At 31.9% G+C, this 20,749-nt stretch overlaps 1 long non-coding RNA gene across 1 annotated transcript in view, besides 1 other annotated feature; it reads left to right on the forward strand.

The window, feature by feature from the left end:
• Positions 1-541: 541 nt before the first annotated feature.
• LOC105377436 (uncharacterized) overlaps positions 542-20,749 on the forward strand; it is a 60,586-nt gene continuing 40,378 nt past the window's right edge. Inside the window, exons 1-2 of the long non-coding RNA XR_939214.2 lie at positions 542-839; positions 7,819-7,912. This is a non-coding gene — a long non-coding RNA (uncharacterized LOC105377436). The remainder of the gene's footprint in view (positions 840-7,818; positions 7,913-20,749) is intronic.
• Positions 6,547-6,841: an enhancer, noted in NCBI's record as "tiled region #6313; HepG2 Activating non-DNase unmatched - State 24:Quies". NCBI's record gives its function as "activates a minimal TATA promoter and a strong SV40 promoter by Sharpr-MPRA in HepG2 cells {active_cell/tissue: HepG2}" and the evidence as "EXISTENCE:reporter gene assay evidence [ECO:0000049][PMID:27701403]".

Here is a 20,749-nt window from a genome sequence, read left to right on the forward strand (position 1 = left end):
GTACAACCATTTAGCAAAGTAACCAAGTTCTAGATGAATATACTCACCATTGAATAAAGTTTAGAGTTTATCATAACAAGAGCTATAAAAAGGGTAAAGAAACACTCTGTGCTGTATTTACAATGTAATTGGCACTGTGCTGTGAATTTAACATTTATTATTATAATCAATATTATTAACAACCTTAAAGAGCATGTAAGATTATTTTCTTGGCTTCAGTTTAGTTTTCTTGCATTACAAATCTGGAAATATAGTGACCTATAAAAACAATAATTTATAAGCTCCATGAAATTGCAGTTTGAATAGAGATAGGTATGGAAGGCTAATTTCTGCTTCATATAACATCAACTGGGACAGTTTGCCTGGGGACTGAAGAATTTAATTCCCAGATACCTCATACACATGGCTGTCTCAATTGGTGCTCACTGTTGGCTAAGTGTTCAGCCACTGCTGAAAGCAAGGGGCTTATTTCCCCTTTACATGGACCTAACTGTTTTTTTTCTTTTTCCTTTTTTTTTTTTTTTTTTTTTGCCAGGGCTAGCGTTGGCTTCCACACAACATGTTTTGGATTTCAGGAGGAAAGATTCCCAAAAGAACCAGCTGGAGGCTTTTATGATCTAGCCTAGAAGTCACAAGTGGTCACATTCACCATTCTATGTATCTGTGGCAATCACAAAGACATACTCAGGATCCAGGAAACAGGATATTTAATCACTGCTTCATAGGGGCAAGATTAAGTAATAATGTAAGAAGAGCATGTAGGAAGGGAGATGAAAGTTGTAGTCATACTGGAGCAAAACACTTCTCATTAAATATTGTGGGAACAGAGACTCAGAGAGGTAAAGTAACCTGCCCAAGTAACAAAGCTTAGCAACTAGGAGAACTGAATATGTTTTTACTAGATACAAGTGAGTTTTTAAGAAAGTTTATTTTACTTTTCATATAAATTTTGAGAGTAATAATAATAATACTGTTTTCACATCATTTTAATGGACTTTAGTGCGAATGATCCTCATAAGGTACTGCAGTCTAGGACTGATGTACTTAATCATAAAACAATTCTTTACATCCTTTTCTTTCTATTCAGCTTAGTATATATTTACAGTACCACAATTATACAATATTGTGTGGTTACAATTTTAGGTACTAGTGTGATAAATAAATTGGAGAACAAACACAACTAAAGTTGGTAAACATAAAATGGTGGGAGCAGAAATGTATGTATTTATTTGAGAATAGGTGAGTTATGGGTGTCAGCTGTATTAAGGGAAAGTGTCAGTTCATCAGGTAAGTCAGTTAAATAAAAGTCGGCTAAGAGAGCTTTTATTGCGTTTGAAAATGTAAGAGGTCAAGTCAATAATTCAAATGCTTAGACGCACTGCTTAAATCATAAATAAAATAAATATTTATCAGGACTATTTCATTATTCTCACTTTTTTTAATTCTAAAGAAATAGTCCATGATTACTGTTTCAAGACTTCTTTTTCAGTAAAGGGTCAACCTTTCTCTTGATGGATAGATGGTGTCCTAGATCTTCTATGGATTGACTTAAAAATACTTTCATTCTTATCTCTGAATAAAACAGAGATTATGACCCAACTGTCATGTAACAGGAGGGATCATCTGTCTTTTCTTTTTTGAGTCAAGGGATTTTGGCAGGAACATAATATTCCCTTCAAAATCAGTTTGTTCTCTTGACTTTCTTTATAGACTCCATTTATCTGTTTTTTCCTACTCTACAGTCTTTAGGCCTCCAGACTGATGAGATCCTAATTCTTTTGGCATGCTGTCAACATGTCCCACGCAGAATAACTATTAAGTCTTTGCTTTTGTTATTCCTCTGCAATTTTGTTTCCCTTTCTGTGCTTCTTGCCTCTTTGTGATTTTCACCTATTTTGCCTCAAGCTATCTCCTGACAATGTGTTACCACCTCTCTTTATGAATTTGTTTCTTCTTTGCCCGGGTAATTTATTTTAGTCTCTTTCCTTATCCCTGCCCTACCCCACTCATAATCCAATATATTGATATTTTTATGTAAACATTTTTTAACATTTCAATTATTTATCGTGAATATTCAGAACAATCAGACATTTTCTTCTGTCTTAACTCTTCAAATAATACATTCTTTAAGACTGAGAATCTTTGCTTATAAACATTCATATTGCAACTACAATAAACCAATCTCCAAATATTAAGGGCATTAACTTTTTCTTCTTAACAGAAAAAATTAATACTTGTAAATTTTGCTGAGGTAACTTACATTATTTATTCACATTTTTTCATAATATTTTTATGCAGTAATAATAAATTTTAAATTGCAATTTAAACAAGTTTTCAATAGTAATATCTTAGAGCAAAAATTCAATGTTTTGTGAGTATTCTTAGGAAATAAATTTAAGGCTGCAATCCACTGAAATTGATTCTATAATATTTTGTTGTTTAAAAAAAGTCTTATGGAAAAAATTATAATAAAGTCATAATTGCAATTAAGAATAATTTTTTTTTTCAGGCCAGGCACCGTGGCTCACACCTGTAATCCCAGCACTTTAGGAGGCCGAGAGGGGCACATGACTTGAGGTCAGGAGTTCAAGGCCAGCCTGGCCAACATGGTGAAACCCTGTCTCTACTAAAAATACAAAAATTAGCTGGGTGTGGTAGCACATGCCTGTAATCCCAGCTACTTGGGAGGCTGAGGCAGGAAAATTGCTTAAACTGGGGAGGCAGAGGTTAAAGTGAGCTGAGATCGAGCCACTGTATTCTAGCCTGGGTGACAGAGCAAGACTCTGTCTCAAAATGTAAATAAATAAACAAATAAATAAAAGAATAATTTTATAATTGAAATAAATTTTGAGAATTAACTAAGATAATTTTTGAGGATGAAATTAAGCTAACTTTTTTTTTTACAATATTTATTAAAAAGGGTGGCTGTTTAAATATAGTTTGGGATATTCTCCAACTTCTGCTTCTTACTGTTTTTAGAGTAACTCTATATTTTTAATTATTCAGTTCACTATAAGGGAAGTAGCTTTATTTTTCTTGATTGGGAATTATCATAGACTGGATTAGCAGGAAAGTAGAATCTGAGATGGAGATTAGATTAGTATGTGTGAAGTTTATTAAGGAGTGCTACTGTACTTCCCTTCTTTAGAAGGAATAGAAAAGGAAGGAGTCAGCACTAGACAGAGCAAGAAACTGGATGATGCTGTAATCTCAATGAAGACCTCAGCTTCTTCCTCTGAAACTAGGATGGCCATTCAGAATTATCTCAAGTTGGGATGAGGAGACTAGACATTCATATTATGTTAAGAAGCCATTGGATGAGTTGAACTTGGTAAAGAGAAGGGGCCCTGGGAGAAGCAATTCCTGTTAAGTAACATCAATTTCACTGAGGACTTAATGGGAAATCTGGGTAGAATATCTCATCATGAGCCACAGATATAACTTCTCAAATGCAGTAAATATAGAAAAAAATGGAAACAGAATAAGCAAGCTGTTCTGCAACTATAGCATCACCCAATTCTTTAAAATTCTGTAGATTTTATACCTTTGGCCACCCTCAAGATAATATTCTAATCATTCTCTCCTCTCCTCTCCTCTTCTCTCTTGTACTTTCCAGGCCTCCAGTTTCTTCCCTCCACTCCTCCTCATTCTCCTTCCTCTCTCCATCTCTCTCTCCCCTTCTAGACTCTGAGTATATTTCATTCTAAACATTTCATTACATGATTACACAAATTTAAACATATTCCAAGTTGAACCAGCCTTTACAATGAACAAGTATACACTGATCGTTTTAATTTTATTTAGCTTTTTAAAAAATTTAGATGAAAGAAAATTTACTCTTTTGTTGCCCAATATTGTAAATTTTGACACATGCCTAAAATAGTGCTACCACCAACAAATTCATCTTAGAGGACAATTCTCTTGGATCCAAAATCTCTTTACGCTGCTCCTTGTTTTAGTTCAAGCCTAACCTTACACCAAGTCTCTGGCAATCACTAATCTTCTCTTCATTCCATCCCCATCCCACCACCACTTTTTGCCTTTTCCAGAATGTCATGACTAGAATCATGTAGTATGTAAACTTTGAGTCTGATGTTTTTCATTTAAGATAATGCTTTGAGATTACATGTCCTTTTGCTTGCATCATTAGTTTCTTTGTTTTCAATAGTGTACTTCTTTTAAATAGAAGCCATTTGGCAAAGAAGCCTGAGAAATGCAATTTGCAACTTGCTAGCCCTGCCTAGCATAGTAAAATCAGTACACAGAAACAAGAGCAGGTAACTGAGAGATGCTAGATAAATAAATTGTTCAATAGAAATTAAATATTTTAATAAGCATAAGATGGTGATACAAATGTAGCACATTTTTGCACATATGAACAAATTATATATGCACTTTTCTACATTCGAACTCTGTGATAATGTCAAGAATGTGCAGTATGTTTTGTCTGAAATGTTCATCTTCCCTTATCCAATTGGCAAGCTCATATCTATCATTCAAGAGACAAGTAAGTGCTGCATATTTCTTGAATCTGTCCACTGATTCCTCTCTTCCTCATCTGTAGGCAAATATTTTCAATATTTCAATTCTTTAAAGTTCTGTAGATTTTATACCTTTGGCCACCCTCAAGATAATATTCTAATTATTCTCTCCTCTCCTCTTCTCTCTTGTACTCTCCAGCCCTCCTCTTTCCTTCCCTCCCCTCTTCATCATTCTCCTTCCTCTCTCTGTCTCTCTCTCTCCCCTTCTTCACTCTGTGTGTTTATATTTCATTCTAAACATTTTGTACCAAAATTTCCTGTATTTTTATTATATTTATATTTTACATTCAACTATGAGATTCAAAGAGGTACTGACACATCTCTTTCGCATTAGTTATGCTGGCAACTGGCATGGTGCTTAGAATATGATAATCAGTAAACGTTTGTTAAGTGAATAAACTAAAGATGGAATGAATAAAATAATATTCTAATATATATTACTTACCTTAAATAACTTATTCCATGTTTCTGCTTAAAATGTGTGCTTTTGATCATAGTATTTCCATTTCACTTTCTTCCAAGTATATTAGTTTTTAGCACAATCTTTTGAGGCAGTTCTCTAAATTTTGCTCCTATTCTCTCTGCCCGGAATTTTGCACTAAACTGCCAGCTATCACAATTCCGACTTAAGTCCTGGGACTGCAAAATGCATGGATCTCCATCTAAAATGAGAAATTGCTTGTTGTTTCTCTATTTGCACCATTTTCATATGATGTAATTATTAATTAGTATGATGATTATTTTGGACATAAATTGTGATTAATTTGAATATAAATTGAGATTGTATCACTGACGGTATTTTAGAATCTTTTCCTTTTAGTTAGTTTCTGAGGGGGAGCATCTGTTGCATTGTTCTTCAGCTCTGGCTATCATGTTATTTGAAGGACTCAGTAACATAAGGGTGGGAGGGCGAGGTGGAATATGTTTCAGGCATTTCCCACAAATATCATCACCATATGCAGACTGTGTATTAGATAAGGAAAGTTAGTCATGTGGTGAATTTTAACAAGCAAGCTGATAGACATCCTGACACCCAGAAAAAGTAGAGAATAAAACAGTGAGCTATAAAAAAAGCTAACAGATATTTGGCATTTATTTTTAAAACAATGAAAAAAAACTTAGAAAATATATTTTAAATTGCATTACTTAAAATGAAGTCTATAATAATGTTTTATTAAAGTATTAAATTTTATACACTTAAAAGCTTTATATCACTTCATATATTTCATTATACCGTACACTCAGAATTGGCCATCTTTTTTCTTTCGAAATACTTATTTTTAGCTTGCAAATAAACTACATTACAAAATGGCAATAAAAATATAAGTTTTACTACAGAATCTTATGAAACGTATCTTTATATCTGGAAATCTTTAGGATTAATCAAATTATTAATATGGTAAAATACCATTCATTTCCAAGTCAACAAAAATTAATTGAGCAAAGAGGTTCAGGGTATAACAACAGACTTCAAAGATTCAAAGATGAACATGCGTGGTGCTTGCTCTCAGTGAGTTGTTAAAATACGTGAACTAAACCAAAGCAAATCCAAAAAATTTAATGTAATAGATTCAGATTTGTTCAAAGAGAAATGCTATGAGAAAATTAAAATGAGAATGAGATTACTTCAGGTTGAGAAAATAAAGTTATGAAGAATAGGACACATTTGTTGTTGAGCACTTGATGAATGGGAAAAATGAAATAAAAAAAAAAAACAGAGTTTCCTAAAAGTGTCGTGAAACTGCATATATTGTGCAGGGAAAGACAGACTTCCCAGTGTGAGGGAGGTTTGATGAAAGGAATAGTTGAGATAATGCTTCACAGATAGGAAATTAACAGATTTTAAAATGTCATCATTTTCATGAGGAATCCAAGCTCTTGTAAACTTCTGGGGACTGTTCTGAACTAGAAAATAGATTGAAGTCTGCTTTAGAAGATAATTTTTGTTATTGTATGTAGAATGGCTTTAGTTAGAATAAGTAAGTAATAGAGACTTTGAGGGCAAGAACATACCTTAATAACATATTCCAGAAGACCAGAACTGAGAGCATAAGAGCGTACACAGCACAGTAGTGGCGGAAATGAAAAGGAAGTTTTGGAGTCCTGGCAATTAAGATAAGTAGGCAACAACAAGGAAGGGTCCCAGGTTGGGGGTGACCCCAAGTGAGAAGAACAATGAACAATTGTTCTGAAAGATGACTAATCACAAACAACCCGTGGGCAAAATGACATCCTTCCATGCATGGCCCCAGCAGCAAGACCTCATTCTGCACGTAGCTGCCACCCACACAACCCTGTAAACTTCCTTCCAGCCGTTCTCTTTTTGTAGACATCCCCTTCTCTGCTGTGCTCCCCATTGCAGTCCTGCAATGCATTTTCATACCTTCTTTAATAAATATGTCTTTCTTTACCTACAACTGTCTTGGTAAATTCCATTACTGCCTATGACACTGGCCCCAGATAGTTGCTACCCATGACAGAAATCACAGACTTGAATAGCCTTTTTGGTGAATAAACAAAGTGGTCCAGAGTGTTGCACAGAGTATGTATGACTCCTCTCTTTTGAATTCATCCATACACTATCCATGCTCTTTCTTATGACCAACCAGTTCCCAGAGCCCTATGGCTCAGTGAGTTACTTTTTCAACTTGAAGACTCCAGTTGTGCTCTAAGGTTAATAGTAAAAAGTATCTGGTGGAATTTATATCATCATAAAAACACAGTATCATTCAAGTATTGTCAACTTTGCAACTTAGGTGATACTCAAAAGTAGAAAAATATACACCTCTCCCACAATTTACATTTTTAACACTGGTGATTTTGTATTCATGGTGTCTATTGTCTATGAACCACCAATGTCCAATTTATTCTAATATTCTCCAAAATCTAATTAACTTAGTTAAACATTACCTAAGCAATTGGATAACATAATATTTAAAACATAAAAAAAAAAACACTTTTTTTTTTCCTCAGACTCAAATGGCAATCCTAGACTGAAGTTTCAGACCATACCCTCAATAGAAGCAACATTAATCATTTTGGGATAGCAATGGCAGAAGCATAGATAGGACAAAATTACTGCAAATAATTCATGATGTTTTTACACAACACATAAGGAATTCTTGAGTGGCAGAGTCATGGGCTGCTATAGCCAGCAGGGATGTTTGATTATGTGTAATGTGACATATGAAGTATCACTAAATCAATGGCTTCAGCATGGCTGGGAGCTTTTTTTCAGGCTACACTCAGTCTAAATTTATTATTTTCCTGCCAACAGGTGAAGTTGACTATAAACTCATTGAACCGTGCCATTTCAGTACAGAGACGGGAACCAGTGTAAAGGACTGATTACACAGATGGAGAATATCAAGGTAGAAAAGCAATGGCAGTGGGTATTTTTTAAAGTGTAACTAAAAGACAGTTCGCTGTCTTACGCGCTATAATTTTTTAAAAAACTTTAATGAGGTTTTATTTAACAACAGAAACATGTAATAATATCAAATGTAGAAGAGAACATGTTTTGGAAAATATTATGGCCCCGTAACCCACATAAAACAGTAATAGGATAAAGTTATCACCCAGAACATTTTCTTGTGCTTTCTTTTTTAAAGCCATTTTCATAGATTAAAGAGTACAAATGCAGTTTTGTAACATGGATATATCATGTAGTGGTGAAGTCTGGGCTTTTAGTGTACCCATCACCCAAATATTTTACATTGCACCCAATAGATAGATTGTCCAAGTTTGATTATTTTCTGTTATAGATGGCAATAACTATATTGCTATCTATAATAGATAATGAAAGCGACTAAACATCATAGTATTTCCAAAATACTATCTCTGCAAAAGTATAGAACAAAGCATCTCTGCAAATGCAAGGAACAAAATATGTGCACTAATGAGAGTCACATAACAGATTTGCAAATAGGCATAATTTTAAGTTTATAAGGTATTCACAACTTGATAATTCTTATCTCTGCATACTGATACACACACACACACACACACACACACACACACACACACACACACACAGAGTGGTGCCTCTGTATTTGAGAGGTATTGGTTCCAGGACTCCACCAGATTACCAAAATCTGTACATAATCAAGCCCACTCTGAAGTCAGCCTTGCAGAACCCACTTATGGAAAAGTCAACCCTCTATATTTGCAGAATGAAAAGCCGACGAGTACTGTATTTTCTATCTGCCTTTGCTTGTGGAGGAGGAACCCCAGATACAGAGAGTGGCCTGTATTTGTTGGGAAAAAAAAAACACTTATAAGTGAACTCACACAGTTGAAACTCATGTTGTTCAAGGATCACATATATATGTGTGTGTGTGCGTATGTGTGTGTGTGCATATATATATATATATCCTTTTTTCTTTAGTTTTTCTTCATTGTTTTACAAACTTTCTGATTTCACAAAAATAAGTATAAATTATTTTGTAAAAAAAGATTTTTTTTTTGGTTTAATGGATATTTTTGTTTGTTTGTTTGTTTTATTTTAGTAAAAGGAAAAGAAGATGATTAAGGATCAAGGGAATGTAAAAGAGAGAGGGGGGGGGATACTCTAAAGGACCCAAAAAGAAGCAGTTCGTGAAATTATACTTGGCAAAATTTTATCCACTTCTGTGGTAATGAAAATTTGGGTATTAAAAACAGAATTGCAGCAAATATTATTGGCAGTTTTCTGGTTATATTATTGGTAAAGATGTTTAGTTTGTATATAATGTTTTCTTTAATGCGATTTAATTCAACTTCAACTAAAATATTCTGTCAGTTAAACAAAATTTAAGTGGAAGCAATATTTGTGTATTGTTATACCCAGCTATCTGAACAACAATATTTCCACATGACAATTAAAGTTTGGGGCCTTGTCTCCCCTGGGGTGAGTTTGTATTGACAGCATTTCTCTACACTTAAAAAAATAAAAAAAAGTTTAAGGGGAGTAAATGGAGTTTTGTTACATGGCAATATTGCCTAGTAGTGAAGTCTGGGTTTCCAGTGTATCCATCATGGGAATAATAAACATTGTACCCAAAAGGTAATTTTTCAAACTTTTCTCCTCCCACCCTCACAGGTTTTGGAGCCTCTCATGTATGTTATTCCACTCTGTATGTCCATCTGGACTCATTGTTTATGTTCTACTTATGAGAGAGAACATGTAGCATTTGACTTTTTGTTTCTGAATTATTTCACTAGAATAGTGGCCTCGAGCTCCATCCATAGTGCTGCAAAAGCTACGATTTTATTATTTTTTATTGCTTCATAGTATTCTCTCCATATATATATATATACATACACACACACATATATACATATATACATATACATATATGTATATATATATACACATATATCTAAGATATATATACATATATAAGAATATACATATATATCTAACTATATATGTATATATGTGTATATATACACATATATACATATATATGCACACATATACATATATATCTAAGAATATATGTATATGTGTATATGTGTGTGTATATATATTATATATACACATATATATGTATATGTGTGTATATATAATATATACACACATATATATGTATATGTGTGTATATATTATATATACACATACATATGTATATGTGTGTGTATATATTATATATACACATACATATGTATATGTGTGTGTATATATTATATATACACATACATATGTATATGTGTGTGTATATATTATATATACACATACATATGTATATGTGTGTATCTATATAATATATACACATACATATGTATATGTGTGTGTATCTATATAATATATACACATACATATGTATATGTGTGTGTATCTATATTATATATACACATACATATGTATATGTGTGTGTATCTATATTATATATACACATACATATGTATATGTGTGTGTATCTATATTATATATACACATACATATGTATATGTGTGTATCTATATTATATATACACATACATATGTATATGTGTGTATCTATATTATATATACACATACATATGTATATGTGTGTATCTATATTATATATACACATACATATGTATATGTGTGTATCTATATTATATATACACATACATATGTATATGTGTGTATCTATATTATATATACACATACATATGTATATGTGTGTATCTATATAATATATACACATACATATGTATATGTGTGTGTATCTATATAATATATACACATACATATGTATATGTGTGTGTATCTATATTATATATACACATACATATGTATATGTGTGTGTATCTATATTATATATACACATACATATGTATATGTGTGTGTATCTATATTATATATACACATACATATGTATATGTGTGTATCTATATTATATATACACATACATATGTATATGTGTGTATCTATATTATATATACACATACATATGTATATGTGTGTATCTATATTATATATACACATACATATGTATATGTGTGTATCTATATTATATATACACATACATATGTATATGTGTGTATCTATATTATATATACACATACATATGTATATGTGTGTATCTATATTATATATACACATACATATGTATATGTGTGTATCTATATTATATATACACATACATATGTATATGTGTGTATCTATATTATATATACACATACATATGTATATGTGTGTATCTATATTATATATACACATACATATGTATATGTGTGTATCTATATTATATATACACATACATATGTATATGTGTGTATCTATATTATATATACACATACATATGTATATGTGTGTATCTATATTATATATACACATACATATGTATATGTGTGTATCTATATTATATATACACATACATATGTATATGTGTGTATCTATATTATATATACACATACATATGTATATGTGTGTATCTATATTATATATACACATACATATGTATATGTGTGTATCTATATTATATATACACATACATATGTATATGTGTGTATCTATATTATATATACACATACATATGTATATGTGTGTATCTATATTATATATACACATATATATGTATATGTGTGTGTATATATATGTGTGTGTATATACATATCCCATTTTCTGTATCCAGTTATCCATCGATAGATATTTAGGTTGATTTCATGACTTTGCTATTATGAATAGTGCTGAGATAAACAAACAAGTGCAGGTGGCTTTTTTGTATATTGATTTCTTTTCCTTTGGGTGGATACCCAATAGTTGAATTGCTAGATTAAATGGTAGTTCTATTTTTAGTTCTTTGAGAAATCAAGAAATCTCCATACAGTTTTCCATAGAGGTGCTAATTTACATGCCCTTTTTCTGTCCAGAGAGATTGTTCTGTGTGATATTTGTAAGACTGGTCGTCAAGGCATCAGCCACTGTAAGGTATTCACCTATTTTATGCCAAATGCAAAGGCTGCCAAAACAAAACAAAACAAAAAAAAAACCTTTCTCATTTAGAATTCTTCCAGCTCCTCTGTAAAAGGGTGTTGTTGGGCAGCAACTATTTTCTGTGGCAGGACCAGAGCCATATTGAATGATTTAGTCTCTTTCATAGATGGCTGCAGTATCAGTGGGAATAGACAATAAACAGAATCAACTGAGTAAGTACTGAAATGTTCTCTATAATAGCATGCTAATAATAATTATGTAGCCTATAAAACTGACTTAATTTTCACAACATTCTGTGCTTGCTATGCAAATTCTTTGGGTAATTCTCAACTAGAATAAATTATTATCTTCCTAAAGCACCTTTTGCATTTCACCTATTTCTATTTTTATCAGGGTGTGCTGGATTTTAAGTCTTTCAAAATTATGATAGGATACATTATATATATTTTTGTATGCAAACTTACTGTACAATATCTGGATTTGAAAAATAGTATATCTATAGGTACTCTTGGCCAACTCTATCACAATGAAGAAAGATCTGCAGCAAAGAGCAAATATGGTCTATTTTATAGCCTATCATCTGGATGCCTGAACTATAAAGAACTCAAGGGAATAATTAAATTTCCATACCTTATGTGGACTGACCATTAACGACGATAATGCTATTCGTGGGCCAGTTAGAAAGACTTGGGCTTATGGCTCATTCTTTTGTAATTCTACGAGATTTAAATGAGTTCTAATTTGAAATTCATGAATTTAAAGTTTCATCTTGTATTAAATAGATGTAGTGGATATTATACACAATATTAATAAGAGCAGAAAGGATGAGGTTTAGTAGTAAATCAAACTAATAATACATGCTGGAACTTATATCATTATACATTGTACATTCCATTTTTATTTTTAGCAGTTTGTATTGCAAGTTAGAGACTATTTTATGTTAATTCTCGTATATTTATATATTGAGGATATAAATATACCAAGAAAGCCTTCAGAATATTTTTTGAACAACATTAACTCTTTGGAATTCTTTAGTCAGTTTTATTGCAGTGTGTGTTAAAAGGAAGTCTGTGGCTTGAAAATAAGAAACATGACTAGATAAACAAAATTAGGCAACTCAACTTGTAAACCAGAAATTCAAAAACAATGTATTATATAGAAAATTTTATTTATAGTCCTGTTTTCCAAAAGGGTCCTAACTAAAGTAGATCTGTTAAGAATCTGGGCGCAGTGCTTCTGGGCTCCCTAACCAGAACCCAATAAGTCACATTTATACTTCAACCTTAGTTAAACAGAGAATGGAAATACTATAGGTAATATTTATTCAGATACATTGGGAAGCAAACTTACCAAATAATACATAAAATGACAATGGAATTTTACTTAATATTTCATTCTTGCAGTTCATGTAATACACTTCTATGTATTATTTTATTGAATTTCTCTTATTTGTCATTCATGGTCTAGGCCTTACTGCTTATTTCAGTGAGACAATATGTTCTCAATTAATGCTTTTGACTTTAAAAATTGAATTCTAGAGTTAATATTTTGCTATAAATATACATAATTAGTTTCAGTAGCTTATATTAAATATGATACATATTTATCTTCTAAAACAATGTAAAAAATTAGTCATTTATAATTTAGAATAAATCTAAGAATAATCAAGTATTTCTCTGAAGAATATTGTCTAAAAAAGAATCAATATAATAAACAGTAATTTTTGATTAATAAGTGGAAAAATTTTATAAGCATCAAGTAAATAAAATGGTAAAATAAAACACTAAGATTAAAAAGATATATATTTTTATATCACAAATAATAAAAGTCCCCCAAAGCATAATTATATAAAACTAAAGGCAAAAAAATCAAAGCATAATCTTACTTTTCAAAATGTGTTTTTATCATCACGAACATAAAAGTGATTGAATTATATGTTAACTATTTACTAACATCCTCAGGTAAATGCATTGAGCAGCCTGAAGAATTTTTCATGTTATTTATCCATGCTTATTCTTTAACATATGACTTCCTCTGGTGCTGTTTACGTTTTCTTTATCTGTTTGCTCATTTGTACTCTTTTCCATTTATTCGGGAAATGCAAGTGGCTGATGAAATCATAAAACATTGTTCACCCAATGTAACTAAAGAATAAAAGAGCTCACTGCAAATGTGAGCAGAATTATTGTTTTCTACAAGATTCATAAATGTAAATAGTTGAAAAGGAAATTGAAACTGTAGCTGCTAAGTGAAGCATGTTCTTGGAGGTTTCTTTTTGTAATGCTATTCTAAAGTATCTTTATATCAATCAAGATACAAGTCCTGTTGAAATACATTAGATATTATACTTCATGTAAAACATTATTTTTGTGTGTGTGGTAATAATCTTTGTTCCTTAAGGAGAATTCTAAAATAGATTTATACAATAAAAGCATTGTCCCACTTGAAAACACTACTGGATTCAAGGTGTTTCTGAAGGTACCTTCAACAATTCTAAAATTTATAGGAAAGCAAGGGAAATGTCAGTAGAGTTAGAAGATGAGGAAACTAGTAAGAGTTCATGGGAGCACTAATGATTGCACTTATAGAAATTCAGTGCATCAGCAATCAAGAACATTGATTGCCAACCATTTGAAGCTGCCTCATGTTGAACAAATATCCTTCCTTATAATAGGAAATATAATACATATTCATATTAATGATTTGATGATTAATAAGAATGTTTGTAAAACAATTTTGACTAGCATTTTACTCTCCAATATTTTGATAAAACTGAAGACTTTATTCTAATCAATATGATGAGAGTAAAATTGGTTCCACAGATTACAACTGCAAATTTAATTAATTGTCTAATAATTGGATAGCCTAATAAATAACTAATTATCTAATATTTGGATAGATAGATAAAAGATATGGCAATCTAATTCAATAATGAAACTAACCAAATAGATTGACAATGCAAAGATGTCTTTTTGCTACTTCACAGCCTATGAGAATTTATGTGTTAGAATGTAGCAGGGAAGATCACTATTGGAAACAAACCTAAGGATAAGGGATCCAGTTTTACTTCACTTTGTCACTAATCTGTGCAAGGTATTGCTCATTTTGAATATGCATCTAGAACATCATATTAACACTGGGTGCACATAGAGGATTTTCACATTGGAAACTCCCTTCCCTCTTATTGCAGAAAAATGCTAAGTATAAAACTTTTGTTTTAACTTCTTTTTCCCAACTCCTAACGCAATTAACTTCAAAGAGGGAAATTTTACATAAAACCTCTTTAGTGTCTTTGTATTTCAATTTTAGATTCATCTGTGGGTATTTGCTAAAACGGTATAACAATAAATGCTAGTCGGCCCTATATGAGAGGCAGAATTAAAAGGTGTCTTACAGTCTCTGATGATTAAATTAAAGCCTTTGATTAGGGACAAATGTGCTAGTTGGTTTAAAAGCCCTGGTAAAGTTGAGTTTATACATTTGAAATTAACATTTGTCTTGAATCCTGTTGATCTTCCAACCTTGTTTTTGCTAAATATGGGTCTATCTTCAAGTTAATGCATAATTTTATACTCTGTGGGCTTAAATTGAATTCCAAATAGCTTCAAAAGCTAAAATTAATTGCAAAAATGAAAAGAAGACACACATCAAAGCTTCATTTTTAAAGTTGGTATCTACATAGCATTTTATACCCATTTAAAACTGTTAGCTTATCCCTTATTTAGTCTCCCTAAACAATTAAAAACTTGATATACTGCAAATGTGCATTTTGTGAGAGAAAATGGTATGAGCTACTAAATCTCCCTACCTTGAATACTGTAAAATATAAATGTGTTCTATATTTTATTATATTCACTTTTTACTCTTAAAGTTTACAGAGAATTCATTCTTAAGAAATACAAAATAAATATCTGGATGTTTTAAATCATGGCCCTTTTTAAACATCCAGAACAAGAAAAAAAATAGCCAAACCAAAGATATGTAATGTTGTATTGGTTGAATTACATATGAGATTTCATAATTAAAATAGCCAAACCAAAGATATGTAATGTTGTATTGGTTGAATTACATATGAGATTTCATAATTTAAATATCCTTAGACATTACAATTTTTTTCATGAATACATTATAAGAACAGATGCTTATGAGTAGAATTGATTCTCTTATTAACCCTAGGGACAATAATAATCTATATTTATAGAGGAAGATTATACTTTTCCTTACCTTCCTCATAGGGTATAGGTGTTTTTCTTAAACAAGTAATTATATCTATCTTGATAAAAATATCCAGTAAGCTTAGTAAAGGATCTAGATATTTGGCTAAATGATTTCAAGAATTCATATATAGGTAAATAGCTAGTTGTAAATTCAAATATAGAATTGAATATTGTGAAGAAGTGATTTTAGGTTCACATTATTTATGGAAGTGTTTACTGCTTCTTTTCTGTGTGAGGCCCAGTTATATAGAAATGTAAACCAGCAGAAAACACTGAATCCTATTAAACATTCAAAGCGAAATTGGTACTAATACTATTGACACTATTTCACATTATAGAAAAAGAGGGAATCCTCCTTAAATCACTCTCTGAAGCTAGTATCACCCCAATACCAAAATCAGGAAAAAACATAACAAAAAAAGAAAACTACAGACTGATATCCCTTATGAACAAAATGCAAAAATCCTCAATAAAATAATAGTGAACCAAATCCAACAGCATATCAAAAACATAGTCAACCAGGATCAAATGGGTTGCATACCAGGGATATAGGGATGGTTTAACATATGTAAGTCAATAAATGTGATAAAATGCATAAACAAAATGAAAAACAGAAATCACAGATCATCTCAATAGATGCAGAAAAAACATTTGACAAAATCCATCATCCCTTTATGATTAAAACCCTCAGCAAAATTGGCATAGAAGGAACATAACTTAAAGTAATAAAATCCATCTATGACAAACTCACAGATGAAATCATACTGAACAGGGAAAAGTTGAAAACATTCCCCCTGAGATCTGGAACAAGACAAGGATGCCCACTTTCACCACTTTTATTCAACATACTACTGGAAGTCCTAGCCAGAGTAATCAGACAAGAGAAAGAAATAAAGAGTATCTAAATCAGTAAAGAGGAAGCCATGCCATTGCTGTTTGCTGATGATATGATTTTATATCTAGAAAACCCTACAAACTCACCCAAAAAGCTCCTAAAACTGTTAAATGAATTCAGCAAAGTTCCAGGATACAAAATTAATGTACACAAACTAGTAGCTCTCCTATATAACAACAGTGACCAAGCTGAGAATCAAATCAAGAACTCAACCTCTTGCACAATAGCAGCCAAAAAATTAAATACTTAGAATTATACCTAACCAAGAATGTGATAGACCTCTGTAAGAAAAACTACAATACACTGCTGAAAGAAATCATAGACAACACAAATAAATGGAAACGCATGCCATGCTCACGGATGGGTAGAATCAATATTGTGAAAATGACCATATAGCCAAAACAATCTATAAATTGAATGCAATTCCCATCAAAATACCAACATCATTATTTACAGCACTAGAAAAAAAATCATAAAATTCATATGGAACCGAGAAAGAATCCACATAGCCAAAGCAAGAATAAGCAAAATGCAGCAAATCTGAAGGCATCACATTACCCAATTACCTGACTTCAAACTATACTAAAAGTCCATAGTCACCAAAACAGCATGGTACTGGTATCAAAATAGGCCCATAGACCAATGGAACAGAATAGGGAACCTAGAAATGAAGCCAAACACTTAACAGCCAATTAATTTTTGACAAAGTAAACAAAAACATAAAGTAGGGGAAATATACCCTATTCAGCAAATTGGGCTGGGATAATTGGCAAGCCACATGTAGAAGAATGAAACTGGATCCTCATCTCTTACCCTATATAAAAAATCAACTCGAGATAGATCAAAGACTTAAATCTAATATCTGAAACCATAAAGATTCTAGAAGATAAAATTAGAAAAAAATCCTTCTAGACATTGGCTAAGCAAAGGCTTCATGATCAAAAACCCAAAGCAAATGCAACACAAACAAAGATAAATAGATGGGACTTGGTTAAACTAAAAAGCTTCTGCCTGGCAACATAAATAATCGGTAGAGTTAACAGACCATCCACAGAGATGGAGAAAATCTTCACAATCTGTAATCTGACAAAGAACTAATATCCAGAATCTACAAAGAACTCAAACAAATCAACAAGAAAAAAAACAAGCAATCCCATCAAAAAGTGGGCTAAGGACATGAATAGACAAACTCTCAATGGAAGATATACAAATGGACAAGCACGTGGAAAAATGCTGAACATCATGAATTTTCAGGAAATGCAAATTAAAACCACAATTTGATACCACTTAATTCCTGCAACAATGGCTAATATGGTTTGGCTGTGTCCCCACCCCAATCTCATCTTGAATTTGCATGAGCTGTGGTAGGGACCCGGTGGTGGGTAATTGAATCATGGGGGCAAGTCTTGCCCTTGCTGCTCTCATGATAGTGAATAAGTCTCACCAAATCTGATGGTTTTAAAATTGGGAGTTTTTCTGCACAAGCTCTCTTTTTGCCTGCTGCCATCCACCTAAGATGTGACTTGCTCCTCCTTGCCTTCCACTACTATTATGAGGCTTCCCCAGCCACGCAGAACTGTGAGTTCTCCATTAACTGTGAGTTCTATCCTCTTTCCTTTGTAAGTTGCCCAGTCTCAGGTATGACTTTATCAGCAGTGTGAAAATGGACTAATGCAATGGCTATAATTGAAAAATCAAAAAATAATAGATGCTGCCATGAATGCAGTGAAAAGGAAACAATTCTACACTGCTGGTGGAAATGTTATCTAGTACAACCACTATGACAAATAGTGTGGAAATTCCTTAAAGAACTGAAAGCAGATCTACCATTTGATCCAGCAATCCTGCTACTAGGCATCTACCCATAGGAAAAGAAGTCATTATATAAAAAACATACTTGCACAAGCATGTTTATAGTAACACAATTTGCAATTGCAAAAATATGGAACCAGCCCAAATGCCCATCAATCAACAAGTGGATAATGAAAATGTGGTATATATATATATATATACACAAAGGAATACTACTCAGGCATAAAAAGGAACAAAATAATGGCATTTGCAGCAACCTGGATGAAAATTATTCTAAATAAAGTAACTCAGGAATGGAAAGCAAACATGGTTTGTTCTCACTCATATGTGGGAGGTAAGCTGTGAGGACACATAGGCATAACAATGGTACATTGGACTTTGGGGACTCAGGGAAAAGGGTGGGGATGGTGAGGGACAAAAGAGTTCACTTTGAATACAGTGTAAGCTGCTTGGGTAATGGTTGCACCAAAATCTCAGAAATCACCACTGAAAAACTTATTCATGTAACCAAACACCACCTGTTCCCCATAAACCTATTAAAATAAAAAAATTTAAAAAATTTAAAAAGAATACATAGAGGAAGATAAAGCCTCTGAAACACAGCCTACTTTTCAACAAACATTAATAAGAATTCAAAGAAAAGACTTGCTTACTTCAATTCCTTTACCAAATTACATATCCAGTTTTCATGTTCCTATCACAAACAAATGATAAATGTCTGAGGTTAAAGATATACCAATTATCCCATCAATCATTACACATTGTATGCATGTATCAAAATATTACATATACTTCATAAATATGTACAACCATTATGTATCAAAAGTTTCTTTAAAATATTGCAAAGCATGCCAACAAGTAAGAAAAATGACTTTTTTAAAGATAAAGTAAGCATTAGAACTATACTCGGATAAGATATAGATTTTAAAATTATCAAATAGAAAATGTAAAATAACTATGAATAATGTATTAAAGATTCTTAAGGAAGAAATAGATAACATACAAGAACAGATTGGTAATGAAGGCAAAGAGAAAGAAATTCTGAGAAAGAATCAAAAGGAAATCTAAAACAGTGTTATCAGAATTGAAGAATGCCTTTGATGAGCTCATCAGTTTACTGTAAGCTCATCTTTCCTTACAGCTAAGGAAAGAATCAGTGAGATTGAAAGTATAGCAAGAAAAACTTTACACACAGAAATGCAAAGTAAAACAGAATTAAAAAACCACTTAATATCCAATAAATATAGGCCAATTAAATACAGCATAACATACGTATAATCAGAATATCAGAAAAAGAATAGTGTGAAAAGAGCAGAAGAAATATTTGAAGCAATAATGGATGAGAATTTCCCAAAAGTAATTACAGATGCCAAACTTAATGGTGAAAAATTTGATGCTTTCTTTTTAAGTTCAAGGCAAAGATGTCTCTTCTCACCACTCCCGTTTAACATCATACTGGAAGTCTTAGCTAATGCAATGAGAAAGTGTAATAAATGGTATACACGTTTTTAAAAGGTATACACATTGAAAAGGAAGAAATAAAATTTTATTTAATATATTACATGATTGTCTATGTAAAAAATCCCAATGAATCAACCAAAAATCTTGTGAAAAATCTACATTGTATGATTCCAACAGGCAGTGCAATGCAGTTTCTGGAAGGATTTGCACACAAGAACTCAGCCCCAACACTCCTTTCTGACCCAGCCATGCTTATGTGCCCACCTGTATTTCTAAGCTAGGCACCTTTCATTCCAAGGCCTTCTCTTCATGAGCCTTGAAGACACTTTCTTTACCTGATTCAGTACTTTTATCTTCTTAGTTGTACCCTTCCCCCACATTTTCCCATCACTGCCTCCATAAAATGGCAGAAACTATTGAGCTCTCACCATAACATA

Source organism: Homo sapiens, chromosome 4 (genome assembly GCF_000001405.40).
Source record: "Homo sapiens chromosome 4, GRCh38.p14 Primary Assembly".
Lineage (NCBI taxonomy): Eukaryota > Metazoa > Chordata > Mammalia > Primates > Hominidae > Homo > Homo sapiens.